This window comes from Homo sapiens, chromosome 12 (assembly GCF_000001405.40).
Source record: "Homo sapiens chromosome 12, GRCh38.p14 Primary Assembly".
Lineage (NCBI taxonomy): Eukaryota > Metazoa > Chordata > Mammalia > Primates > Hominidae > Homo > Homo sapiens.
The window spans coordinates 50685970-50700552 of NC_000012.12; the positions used below are offsets into that span (position 1 = coordinate 50685970).

At 40.7% G+C, this 14583-nt stretch overlaps 1 protein-coding gene across 1 annotated transcript in view; it reads left to right on the plus strand.

The window, feature by feature from the left end:
- DIP2B (disco interacting protein 2 homolog B) overlaps positions 1 to 14583 on the plus strand; it is a 243673-nt gene that overhangs the window by 180985 nt on the left and 48105 nt on the right. The window contains exons 12-19 of the mRNA NM_173602.3: positions 604 to 713; positions 5080 to 5182; positions 6980 to 7044; positions 9298 to 9391; positions 9879 to 9998; positions 11092 to 11206; positions 12359 to 12498; positions 13097 to 13233. Of these exons, the coding sequence (NP_775873.2) occupies positions 604 to 713; positions 5080 to 5182; positions 6980 to 7044; positions 9298 to 9391; positions 9879 to 9998; positions 11092 to 11206; positions 12359 to 12498; positions 13097 to 13233 (884 nt within the window). The remainder of the gene's footprint in view (positions 1 to 603; positions 714 to 5079; positions 5183 to 6979; positions 7045 to 9297; positions 9392 to 9878; positions 9999 to 11091; positions 11207 to 12358; positions 12499 to 13096; positions 13234 to 14583) is intronic.

The window sequence follows — 14583 nt, forward strand, 5'->3', positions numbered from 1 at the left end:
TACCTGAATTATCAGTTAAAAGTTAAAACTGAGTGCTTTAATTAGCTTTTTAATTTAGTAATAGCTAGGTACTTTACATATATGTTCTATTTAATTCTCATAGTCTTATGAAGTAGGTACCATTATTATCCCCATTTTACAAGTGAGGAAACTGAGAAACAGAGAGGTTAAGTAACTTGCCCAAAGTCACAGCTAATAAATGGCAGAGCAGCAATTTGAACCCAAATCTGTCTGATTCCACAGCCCACACCCTTAACCTTTATGCCGATGGTTGGAAAAAGCTACCACTCTGTACATTAAAGCTAAATGCTACATGTAGAGACAGAGGATAGACCACTAACCTCAGTGGACTTCCACTGCCAAACGGACCTCCCAGTTGTTGAGGTAATGTCAAGGCCTGGAATTAGCATGTGGAACGATTGTACTTTTGAAAGAAGGTATAATTGTCTGGTGATTTGCCACTAAAAACTAATAAAAACTAAGTATTTTATTGATTATAAAATGATCTTAATTTGGTCTCTTGATATTTAAAATGACCAGTTCAGTGTGAATTCATTCCCTGATGGCTTAGGCAATTCAATTTTCACTTTGGGTTTGATTTAGGTTGGCCCCGGCTCAAATGGGTTGTAACAGATTCCAAGTACCTTTCAAAGCCACCGAAAGACTGGCAGCCACACATCTCACCTGCTGGGACAGAACCGGCATACATTGAGGTAAGTCCTAAGATGTAAAATATGCTTTCAGGCTTTTCCTTGGGCTTTGCTTGCCACCTTTCAAAATATAAAACTGAATTTTTGCAACGTTAATGTTAGAAGATCCTCCTGCTTTGTGAGATTTCCATCTTTTGGCTTGTAAAATGCCTTGTAGTGGATCTTCTATCCTAATTATTTTGATCATAAGTATACATTCAAGAGAATGACGGCAAAAAAAAAAGGATTCTTCATGTAAGAAAGTTACAAAAGACTTTAGGGAAGTACAAGCGTTTAGGAAATGATGTACTGGCAGAGAAATTTCTCTGCTGCTTATTTAGAGAGGTTGGGGGTAAGAGAACGGAGAAATGAGGAGGGAAAATAGCTCTGCTTAAAAGAACAGATTAGTAGATGAAAGATAAAGAGCAAGAATAAACAAATGGCTGGAAGGTTTGATATTGAGGTTGGTATAGAAATGCAATTGGCAACATGATCCCATTAATGGATTAAGCAAATCCAAGTGCACAGCAGGCACCAGGCTGAATGCTTTAAGTGCATTTTCTCATGTAGTCCTCACAAGTACCCTGTGAGGTTTGGATTATTACTAAACTTACTTTATAGATGAGGAGACTAAGACTTAAAAGAATTTCCGTAGCTGAGCAAAGGCCACATGACTCAAAAATGGCAGAGCTAGACTCAGAGTTAGGTCTAACTCTAAAAGCTGTGGCCTTCACCACTCTGCATCCTGCCTGAGACATATGCTCACCAATTGTTAAGTTAATGAACAGGCAAATCAATAAAAATTTTTTTCAAGATCTGGGGGAAAATCATCTAGCCTTGAACACTGTGGTGATAAGTAGAGAGAACTTCAAAAAATTTTGGATATAGAAAAGAGAGGCTGGGAGAATGAGTTCATGTCCTTTGCAGGACATAGATGAAGCTGGAAGCCATCATTCTCAGCAAACTAACACAGGAACAGAAAACCAAACACTGCATGTTCTCACTTATAAATGGGAGTTGAACAATAGGAACACATGGACACAGGGAGGGGAATATCACACCGGGGCCTGTTGAGGGCTGGGGGGCAAGGGGAGGGAGATCATTAGGACAAATACCTAATGCATGCGGGGCTTAAAACCTAGATGACGAGTTGATAGGTACAGCAAATCACCATGGCACACATATACCTATGTAACCTACATGCAAGTTCTGCACGTGTCCCAGAACTTAAAAGTAAAATTAAAAAAAAAAAAAAATAGAAAAGAGAGGCTGGGGTGGGACACATTGGTTCACGCCTGTAATCCTGGCACTTTTGGAGGCTGAGGTGGATGCTCCTGAGGTCAGGAGTTCGAGACCAGACTGGCCAACATAGTGAAACCCCGTTTCTACTAAAAATAAAAAAAATTAGCTGGGCATGATGATGCACGTCTGTAGTCCCAGCTGCTTGGGAGGTTGAGGCGGGAGGATCACTTGAACCCAGGATGCAGAGGTTGCAGTGAGCTGAGATCACGCCACTGCACTAGAGAGGCTGGATGCAATGGTTCACATCTGTCTGTAATCCCAGCACTTTGGAAGGCCAAATAGGAGGACTGCAAAGAAAAGGAAGAGAGTGACCAGTAGCTCTGAGAGGTGATGGGGGTATTATTGGATGCCAGGATGATTGTTTTTAAAGGTGAAACAGATCTAAGTATCTTTAAAAGACAGACAGATAGGCCAGGTAAGATGGCTCATGCCTTTAATCCCAGTATTTTGGGAGGCTGAGGGAGCTGGATTGCTTGAACTCAGGAATTCAAGACTAACCTGAGTAACATAGTGAGACCCTGTCTCTACAAAAAATAAAAAATTAGCTGGGCCTGGTGGTATGCACCTATAGTCCCAGCTACTCAAGGAGTCTAAGGTGGGAGGATCACTTGAGCCCAGGAGGTTGAGGCAACAGTGAGCTGTGTTCATGCCACTGCACCCTATCCTGGATGACAGAGCACAATTCTGTCTCAAAAAAGAAAAAAATACAAATAAGCAATTAAAAATACCAAATTTAGTGATCAGCTCTCAATCTATGTCATGTCTCAGTGATGACATGGTTCATCACTCGGTCCTCCTTAAAACTCCAGTCCTGGCTTCTTGGACTCCTCTCTCAGTTCCTCTGCCTCATTGGCCATTCCTTCAGTTGTCTTTATTGGCTCTCCGAAAGGTGGAGGGTCCTCCATTGTGTGGCTCTTGCTTAGCTCTCTGGCCTTATTAGAACTTCTACCCTCTGTCTTTCTAGGTGCCTGTTATTTTGAATTAACTTGCAGTTCTTGCTTGGGATCCTCCTATTACCCACAGGACTCTACTAGTGAGTTTAAAGCATCTCTGGGTAATAGGGAGTTATTAAAGGGTTGTCAGCAGGAGAGTGACAAGAATGAATTTATTATAAGAAGATATATCTGGACTGGTTGGGTTAAGAAAGGAAATAAGGGCTGGGCGCAGTGGCTCACCCCTATTATCCTAACACCTTGGGAGGCTTAGGCAGGCGGATCATTTGAGCTCAGGAGTTCGAGACGAGCCTGGGCAACATGGCGAAATTCTGTCTCTACAAAAAATAACAAAAATTAACCGGGTGTGGTGGCACATGCCTGTAGTCCCAGCTACTTGGGAGGCTGAGCCTGGGAGCTCAAAGCTGCAGTGAGCCATGATCGTGCCACTGCATTCCAGCCTGAGCGAGACTCTGTCTCAAAAAGAAAAAAAAAGGAGACCGGCTTTACAGTTATTCAGGTGAGCCCAAGCTTATGGTAGAGAGCAGAGAGCAAAGTAGATGGAGCTTCAGACAGTAAGGAAATAGAGCAGGCAGGGCTTAGTTACTGATGCTGGAGAGGGAGAAGGCAAGACAGACTCAGGTTTCTTGCTTGAGCAACTGGGATTGATGGCAGCATCCTTCACTAAGATAGAAAATACAACAGGAAGAGTTTCCAGGGGCAGGGACGGGGGTAAAGAAGTCAGTGATGGATATATGAGTTTCACAGGATTACTGGACATTCCAGGGGATTAGTTGACTCTGTCAGTCTGGATCTCTCTGGAGGAGAGGCTGGGTTGAAGATAGAGAACAAGGAGTTACTAGGAATGCAGTAACCTAATGGAATAAAGTGAAAAGAGATAAGGGTGGAGAATATGGAGGAGCAGTGGGAGAGAGACAGACACACAGAGACAGAGACTAGAAGAGAGGAGTATCAAAAAAGCAAAGGAAGGAGAAAACATCAAGAAAGAGAGTAGTCAAATTTTGCAGAAAGGTTCGATAAGGTATGCAAAATGTCCTTTTGATATAACAATCAAAAAATTGGGGCTGGTCCTAAGGTAGTTAATTATCTCAGTTGACTGTTCACAGTCAGGTACAGATCAAACTCCTATTCTACTCTTTCTCCCCTTCTCATTATTGACCTTGGGAACACTTAATTTTTTTTTTTTTTTTTGAGACGGAGTCTCGCTCTGTTGCCCAGGCTGGAGTGCAGTGGTGTGATCTCGGCTCACTGCAAGCTCTGCCTCCCAGGTTCACGCCATTCTCCTGCCTCAGCCTCCTGAGTAACTGGGACTACAGGCGCCCGCCACTACGCCCGGCTAATTTTTTGTATTTTTAGTAGAGACGTCGTTTCACCACATTAGCCAGGGTGGTCTCGATCTCCTGACCTTGTGATCCGCCCACCTTGGCCTCCCAAAGTTCTGGGATTACAGGCGTGAGCCACCGCACCCAGCCAAAATTTTTTTAAAGTTGAACTGGGCACAGTGGCATATGCCTGTAGTTCCAGCTACTCAGGAGGCTGAGCTGGGAGGATTGCTTGAGCCCAGGAGTTCCAATCCAGCCTGGGCAACATGGTGAGACTCCATCTCTTAAAAGAAAGAAAGAAAGGAAAGTTGATAGTCCTGGTAAAAAGCAACTTGAATGGAACATTAAGGGTAAAAGCAAAATTATAGTTGAATGATTTGGAGGAGCAAATAGGCCATTCGTTTCTAGTTCTTCCTTACAAAATTGGGTGCTTCTAACGCACAGAGACCGCGTCTTACATACCTTTCACTCTGCAGTGCTGTGCTTGACTTGTATTTATTTGATATTGTGTTTCTATTCATATAGCTCCAATCACTTGTTTATTTTAGCTTTTGAGCAGCCACTTCACACTGATGACTATTAAACTTTGAAGTCTTTTTCACATATATTTTTGTTGAGCTTTGTCATCCTCCAATCCTATCTTTGTGTGATTTGAGTTTGAGACCCTAGTACATTGCCTTAAATATTCATATTAAACATGTTAAATTCAGCCCATTATGATGGTTTTTCTGGGTTTTGTTTTTGGATTCTAGTTTTGTCATCTGAAATAACCCATTTTATTGTGTTTCTTATGTTTCTGTTTTTGTTTTCTAGTATAAAACAAGCAAAGAAGGGAGTGTAATGGGAGTTACAGTATCCCGGCTTGCAATGTTGTCTCACTGCCAAGCTCTGTCGCAGGCCTGCAATTATTCTGAAGGTCAGACCTCATCCCATGACTGCCCTCATTGTTACCTTCAGAGATGTGTGACTGTGAGCACAATGCTCAGTGATTGGACCTCATTTAATGACCGAATTCAGAGTGAAATGTCCCAAGACACATTCTTGGCTTGCTTTTGTTTTCTTCTTCTCAAAAATATGCTGTAGTTTAAAGGAACCAAAATTCTGGGCAAACCAAAATGTAAAGCATAATTTCTAGAGTACAGCAGTAGAAAACCCTAATTAAAATCCTGTTTTTGTTAGCTGTGGAATGGCAGGTATCTCCATCTTCCCCTGCCTGTATAGTGGGCTACCAGCTATACATTTGGAGTCAAAGAAATTCAGCTACCAAAAAGCATAAATTAAAACACAAAAATGTATTCGATATTTTTGAACTTTAGATAGGTTGATACATAATTGCATAAACCACTATTTGCCTCAGAATGTTCTTTGCAATATTAATTTTTTTAGTGTTTTCCCTTTATAAAATGAAACAAGTTAATAAATGGTCATGATAAAATTTTTAACCAGACAACAATGTTCTATCATGAAATTATATATATATACGCACACATAATGGAAGCAATCAAAATGCCCTTAAATAAGGATTGATTAAGTTATAATACATTCAGACCAGGCGCTGTGGCTCACGCCTGTAATCCCAACACTTTGGGAGGCCGAGGCAGATGGATCACCTGAGGTCAAGGGTTCGAGACCAGCCTGGCCAACACGGTGAAACCCCATCTCTACTAAAAATAACAAAAAATGACCAGGTGTGGTGGCTTGTGCTTGTACTCCCAGCTACTTGGGAGGCTGAGGCGGGAGAATCACTTGCACCCTGGAGGCAGAGGTTGCAGTGAGCCGAGATCATGCCACTGCACTCTAGCCTGGGTGACAGAGCAAGACTCTGTCTCAAAAAAATATATATATATATAATACATTCATATAATGGCTGGGACATTAAAATTTTTATTTTTGAATATTAAAGATATGAAGAAATTGTTTCAATGTATCATTAAGCAGGAACAAGTTAGATACCAAGCTTTGTATACCAGTTTGTCACATTAGATATCTATCTAGATGTAAATATGCCTAGAAGTATATGTGTGTGTATAGATAGAATGTTTAGAGATATATACATATACACACCAACTTTTTTTTTTTAGGAAGTATCTTTTAGGAAATTTATATTTGTCAAACTTCCCAAGTTTCTAAAATAAGCATGTATTCTCCGCATATTTAGGAAAAAAATACCTCTTGGAAGAAATGCCTAAGTCACAAGAAGTTTCTAACTCCTTGGCTCTGTTGTAACCACATTACCCTATGAGCAGTCCTCTACCCGTTTTGAGGAGACCCTCAAAAACCCGTGAGAACTTTTAGTCATTTCTCTAAAAACATCAAATCAGGCTGGGCGCTGTGGCTTATGTCTGTAATCCCAGCACATTGGGAGGCCGAGGCAGGAGGATCACTTGAGGTCAGGAGTTCAAGACCAGCCTGGCCAACCTGGTGAAACTCCCTCTCTACTAAAAATACAAAATTAGCCGTGCATGGTGGTGTATGCCTGTAATCCCAGCTATTTGGGAGGCTGAGGCAGGAGAATTGATCGAACCTGGGAGACAGAGGTTGCAGTGAGCCGAGATTGCATCACTGCACTCCAGCCTGGGTGACAGAGGTGAGACTCCATCTAAAAGAAAAAGCAAACAAACATCAAATCAGTTGTTTATAAGAGGCAAGTGACATAATTTTGCTACTTAATACTAAAGATGATTTCTTTGTCTTCCTATTTTTTCTATTTTAGGGGAAACAATAGTAAATGTCTTAGACTTTAAGAAGGATGCTGGGCTGTGGCACGGCATGTTTGCGGTAAGCTACTCAGATTTAAGGCCCTTAGTGTAAATTGTGCTTGAGATAAGGCCAGCATGTTGTATAACTGGAGCATCTCTCAGTGCTTGTTTGAAATTTAAATCCCCAAAAGGTCAGTAATATTTTCCAGAGGCTATATAACCTTTCCACTGGACAGAATGTTTTGAATGACTGCCATGCATAAGCTGCATGCTGCAACTGAAGAAGAGTAACAAGGTAGATGGGGATTCTCCCCATCAGAGAGGAACAGGTAGCATACTATGGGTGTTAGAAAAAGGTGACTTCCTTCTAGGTCTGGGCTTCAAGGCAGTTTTTGTGGAAGAAGTGACAGCTGAGTTGGACTTTGAAAAATAGGTAAGCTTTAGACATACAGAGATTTTTGTAAGGGGATATAGAGGTAGAGAGAGGGGACATTTCAAGTGGCAAAACTACTATATGTAACATGCCATATAGGTGGAGAGAGAAAAAAAATACAGGGTTACCTGAATTGTAAAGGACTTCAGAGAGCCTCTAGTCTCACTTTCTTGATAATGCAGGAGCTGGGAAAGCATGGGAAATGAATCATGAGGGAAGAGGAGGTGGATCCCTTTTCACCCAGAACCCTCGAAATCTTCAGTAAATTTACTTTCTAGCTCTTTTCTGAAACCTTTTCCATTTTCTTCTTTATCAGAAGTTAAAAATCCTTTTGAGGAGGTAAGAAGAATCTCTTCTCTGTGATACCAAGTGCAAGATAGGGACATGTGTGAAGAATTGAGTTATAAACACCAGCCTTTTCCTGAAACCAAAAGTTTCTCACCAGAGCTAGAAACTTGGAGAGAGAAAACAGTATCTTGCAGTAGTATCTTGGTTTCTTTGGGCAAGTTAGAGAGTGAGCAAAATGGCTAATCTCAATACGAAGGCTTGGTTATTCTATGAGGCTGGGTCTGTTTGGGGACAGGGTGTCTTGTGTATGCTTGATTAGAGTGGCAGGAGAGACCCTAAATTGCATGACCCCTCAACACCTTCAGCTTTATCTAACAAAAAAAAATTAACAGATGTAGGCAGGACCTCCTGTAAGAAACAGGGACATTTCGATTTCTTGCTTTGTGATGCCCAGCTAGCCCCTTTGTGGCATGTGGCAAGTACGAACATGATAAAAGCATTAAGTGGGTTGGAGGGCAGTTTGGCAGTGTCTGTTAGCATTTTAAAAGCATATACCACAGCCGGGCACTGTGACTCAGGCCTGTAATCCCAGCACTTTGAGAGGCCAAGGCAGGCGAATTACTTGAGGCCAGGAGTTCAAGACAAGCTTGGCCAACATGGTGAAATCCCAACTCTACTAACAATACAAAAATTAGCTGGACATTGTGGCGCACACCTGTAATCCCTGCTACTCAGGAGGCTGTGCAGGAGAATTGTTTGAACCCAGGAGGCAGAGGTTGCAGTGAGCCGAGATCGCACCACTGTACTCTAGCCTGGGCAACAGAGCAGGACTCTGTCTCAGATAAATAAATACATACATACATACATACATACATACATACATACATACATACATACATACATACACCAGTCCCAGCTACCCTGGAGGCTGAGGCAAGAGAATCACTTGAGTTCAGGAATTGGAGGCCAGCCTGGGCAACATAGTGAAACCCCTGTCTCTTTTTTTTTTTTTTTTTTAAAGCATATGCCATATGACAGCAGTACTACATGTCCATATAGGGAAATACTTGCACAAGTCCAGGGAAGGAAGTAGGAATGTGCTCCTTGAAACATTTTTTGTAGTAGCAAAAAATTGTCATTAATAGGGAAATGCCTAAATAATTGTGATATAGCCAAACAATGGAATACTGTGCCGCAGTTCAAAAAGAATTATGTAGATCTCTTATACTGATATGCATAGATTTAGCTTTAGAACAATTTAAATGAAAAAAACAAGTTACAGATATATGTATAATATGATGTCTTTTATGTTAAAAATACTTATATATTTCTATGGGAACAAATATCTATGAAAATGCATTGAAAAAAGATTGGAAGGATATCTGTCAAATTTGTAACTGATTATCTCTGGCGAGGAGAGGAGGGAACCAGGTTTGAGGGTAGGTATTAAAGGAACTTCAATCTTATATTTAATATTTAAGATTGTTTTCAAAGAGTGTGTATTTGAGTATTACTTGTATAATTAAAATTGCTAACAAAATACCAGCTCAATTTTAAAATACTAAGTATGTATTTTGTATTGATTACTTTTCTTCTTTCTTTGTTTTTCAGAATGTAATGAATAAGATGCACACAATCAGCGTACCCTACTCTGTTATGAAAACCTGTCCTCTCTCTTGGGTCCAAAGAGTACATGCTCACAAAGGTAGTCACCTGCAACATCTGAGCTTTAATTATGTGACTGTTTGAATTAAGATTTCAGGGATTTCAGAGATTTTCAAATTGCCCTTGTATGCCCCTGTCCCTTAACAAATTGTAGAGTTTAGTTACTACAGAATTAGGTACCTTGCCTGTTCATCTCACTGATGTCCTCTCTTAAGCATTGAGATGAATTTTTTCCAAATGCGAGCCTTGAATTAGATTTGACTGTCTTGGTATTCACAGTTTCCTTGGCTGGGACACTGTGACCTGCCTAGAGGGTCTCAGTGAACAAACAATTGTAGGTCCAGTCAGTTGTCTAAATGTGATAATTTCTGCCTCTGAGCTATTGGCACAATCTCTTTGAAACCGTTTTTATCTTCTCCAAGCAAATATCATGATTCCCCAAATAAGTAAAAATGTTTTTATTGTGGTGTATTACATATGTCCCAAATTTATTGTGTATGTTAACTTCATCCTTTTTGAATTTATAGCCAAGGTAGCTTTAGTAAAATGTCGGGACTTGCACTGGGCTATGATGGCACATCGGGACCAAAGAGACGTGAGCTTGAGTTCCCTCCGAATGTTAATTGTGACTGATGGAGCTAACCCCTGTGAGTATTTCTTCATTGTGGATCTGGGAATATCCTGTGTTTTGATAGATTAGGGTTTTTCGCCCTGTACTAAGATATAATTCACATACTGAAAAACTCACTCATTTAAGATGTGTAATTCAGTGGTTTTGGTATATTCACGAGTTGTGTAACCATCATTACAATCTAAGTTTAGAACATTTTCATCACCCAAAAAGAAACCACATGCCCATTATCAGTCACTCGCCATTTTTCCTCCTGCCCCAGCCCTAGATGACTGCTAATCTATTGCCTGTCTCCCTAGATTTGCCTATTCTGAACATTTCTTATAAATGCAGTCATGCAGTATGTGGTCTTTGTGATGGGCTTCTTTTTCTTAGCATGTTTTTAACGTTCATCCATGTTGTAGTATCTGTCAGTACTTCTGCATTCCTTGTTACTACCAGGAAATCGTCCATTGTATAGTTATACCACATTGTATTTACTCATTCATCTTTTGATGGATCTATAAGCTTTTAAGTCATTCTTTTTTGCTCATTCATGTATAACCTCTTTCTATCATGTAACTGGGTATTCCTGTGTTACCTGCTTTTCTCTACAAGCCCCCAAATCCTGATCCTTCACACAGTAGAATCAGGTAGAGCACTACACTGTTTGTCATAAATGGACTTTGTTAGTAGTCACATTGATCATCATAGTTTAAAACACAGACATGGGCTTGACCTTAATATCATATAGAAGGTGGAGCTAAGCCAATATTAAATTGCACTGGCTATGACAGTTCCTCAGGAAGAGTTGCTAAATTATAAACTGGCTGCATATTGCCTGCAGTGTTATCTCTGATACTGATTTGTCAGTTTAATAGGAGCAGCCTTATTCCAAGGTGTAATTTTAAATAGTGTCAGTGACCTTTTATGGGCTGGATGAGCATTAATTTGTCCTTGAAATATATCAAACCATCTCACAGGGACAGTAAAATATTTGCGTGGAATTAACAATATACAATATGAGTTCTCATGAGAAATAAGTATGTCAGCTTTCTATTCTTTACCATTTTCCTACAGTAATGAAAAGCATAATTTCAGCTTCAGGTTGATCTGTTCCAACTCCTTAGGGTCCGTGTCATCCTGTGATGCCTTCCTGAGTCTGTTCCAAAGTCATGGACTGAAGCCTGAGGCCATCTGTCCGTGCGCCACGTCTGCTGAAGCCATGACTGTAGCAATCCGCAGGTACTGTTCAGGATGTCAGATGCTCTTGATGTATGTTACAACTTGGATGAAATGTGCAGTATTTACCAGGTGATGACCAACGGATGTTAACTAATTTTCTAAGCAGTTTCAAGCATCTCATTTTTCCCACTCTTGCTCAAAGTGTATGCAGTAAACTGAAAAATTTAATTGATATCATTTCGTATTTGTGAATTAGCTCTTTTTCTGTGCCATTTTGCTCTTCGGAATCCATAGCACCTTAGATTAAAAATAGACTGTTCTTGATTGTAGCTTAAGTATGGATAGTATATCTATAGTATATTCAAGACCATTATGTATGTAAGTATCAGTGAATGTGTGTGTGTGTATATAGATATACTTTTTTTTTTTTTTTTTTTTTTTTTTTAGATAGGATCTCTCTTTGTCACCCAGTGGCATGATTATGGCTCACTGCAGCCTCAACCTCCTGGGCTCAAACAGTCCTCCTGCCTCAACTTCCTGAGTAGCTAGGACTACAGGCATGTACCACCACGCCTGGCTAATTTTTAAATTTTTTTGTAGAGATAGGTTCTTGTTATGTTGCCCAGGCTGGTCTCGAATTACTGGCTTTGAGCAGTCCACCTTCCTTGTCCTCCCAAGTGCTGGGATTGTAAGCATGAGCCACCAAGCCTGGCCCAGTACGCAATACTTGATGATGATGATAAATGACCATTTTGCTGGTTTATGTGTTTACTACACTACATTTTTTTTAAATTTAATTTTTGAGAGATGGGGTCTTGCTCTGTTATCCAGGCTGGAGCACAGTGACACGATCATTGTAGCCTCAACCTCCCAGGCTCAGATGGTTCTCCCACCTTAGCCTCCCAAGTAGCTGGGACTACAAGCATGTGCCATCATACCCAGCTAATTTTTGTATTTTTTGTAGAGATGGGGGTCCCACTGTGTTGCCCAGGCTGGTTTTGAACTCCTGGCCTCAAGCAATCCTCCTGCCACAGCAGTTGCTGGGATCACAGGTGTGAGACACCACACCCAGCTCTAATTTGGCATATTTTTGGGAGAGAAAATGGAGAATTTTTTTGGTATTGTAGCCAGAGGAAATTTGTCTTCCTATGTATTTGTATTTTTCCCTTGATGTTATTTCATTCACCAAACTTGATGGGTTCTTCTTTTCAGGCCTGGAGTTCCAGGAGCCCCTTTGCCAGGAAGAGCCATTCTCTCAATGAATGGATTGAGCTATGGGGTAATACGGGTCAATACTGAAGATAAAAATTCAGCACTGACGGTCCAGGATGTAGGGCATGTAATGCCTGGTGGTGAGTCGCAAGGAGCATCATTTGGTTTTTCATAAAGATTTGTCATCAGAGATAATAGAGCCTGATAAAATACAGAATCCCAAACGAGGAACCCTTAATTCAGTACTTAACGCATTTAATTTCTCAGAGCCTCTCTAATAGTTAAGTCATTATAATTATGCTGACCTTCCAGCAGTATTGTATGACTTACCAGTTGTGAATGCTTCAAGTCCATTTCTTTACCTGGAAGGCCAAATACTGAGAGATGTTAAAGTTACCTGGTTTTCACTGTAATTGCCAAGCCATTGGGACTGGCAGAAAATTAGAGCATACTGCTTCCAAGAGTGTTTGAGTTTGACCTGCCTAAGGGTAACACCTCATTCATCTAACCTGTTTATTTGGGCTTTGCATTCATCGTTAATATGTCACTGTCTCTACAAGCTTTACATTTCAAATATACCTATGTAGTTTCAGGTTTATGTTTAGCATTCCTGTCTGGTATTTTTACTTAATGCCACTCAGTAAAGGCAGGACTTTCTTGGGTTCACAGGATGAAGCTGTTATTTTACAAAAGTTTTCTAGAATCTTTGTCCTTTAACCTGTATTTTCTGTACGTTAGGGATGATGTGCATTGTGAAACCAGATGGACCTCCCCAGCTCTGCAAAACAGATGAAATTGGAGAAATCTGTGTTAGCTCCAGAACTGGAGGCATGATGTACTTTGGGCTTGCTGGTGTGACAAAAAATACATTTGAGGTACATGATATTAACATTTCACAGGGAAAATGTTTGGGGATTTCAGGATGTTACGAGGGCAGATCCCCTGGTTGATGGGACATAGCATAACATGTGGTTGAGAGTGTGTACTCTGGAGCTAGACTTGCCTAAGTTCAAATTCTGAACTTAGGTCACTAGCTGACCTTGGGTGAGTTGGTTAACCTCCCTGTGCCCCAATTTCCTTATCTTTAAAATGTAAGTAATAATTGTACCTATGTCATAGGATTGTTGTGAGCACTAATTGAGTTAATGTTTTATAAAGTGCTTAGAAAGAGCATCTGGCATATAGGAAGTGCTGTTGTGTATCTGTTAGATTTTTTAAAAGGGTAAGATGAGCTGGGCATGGTAGCTCATGCCTGTAATCCCAACACCTTTGGAGGTTGAGGCGGAAGGATTGCTCTTACTGAGGCCAGGAGTTTGAGACCAGGCAATGTAGCAATGTAGCAAGGCAATGTAGCAAGATCCCATCTCTACCAAAAAATTGAAAAAATTAGCCAGACATGGTGGTGCATGGCTGTGGTCCCAGCTACTCGAAAGGCTGAGGCAGGAGGATCCCTTGAGCCCAGGAGTTCAAGGCTGCAGTGAGCTATGATCATGCCACTGCATTCCAGCCTAGGGGACAGAGCAAGACCCTGTCTCAAACACACACACACACACACACACACAACAAAACCAAAAAAAAAAAGGGTAAGAGGCCTCACAAAAATTCACTGTGGTGAATTTGCCATGGTTTGAGCTTTGTAAATTCAAATTTAATTTCGAGAGTAAACTCCAATTATGCTCAGTTACTAATTAAAAATGAAGACTGTCCTTTCACAGGAGTCAGGTTGCTCATATTATTCAGTCTTTCAGTCAGACAAATATTTTTTGAGCACCTTTAATGTGTCTGGCAATGTTCCAGATGCTTGGGGTGCATCAGAAAACAAAACAAAACTCCTTGTGGAGCTCACGTTCTTGTGGGGCCAGCACATTCTAGCTAGACTCGCACACGGTTTTCCTGCAGGCACTTCTGCATGCGAAGCCAGGTTGTAATGGAAACTTTGCCTAGTGAACCTGGAAGTCAGAACAGGGGCGGTTAATTGTCTACATTTAATAATTGGAATTAACCTGTCTCAGGATACATTTTAGGGACGAGAGAAATTCAGGTGGCAGCCACATCCCTCTTCACACAAGACAGAGCTTATATAAGCACTCCTATTTTTCAGTTCTTTGAGCTTCTTTTTCTATAATCTAGACTAGTGATTCCCAGGATGGAAGGTTACAGGCATCTACTGTCCCACTTGAAATCAGTGCATGTGATTACATACTAACAGATGTAACTTCAGAGAA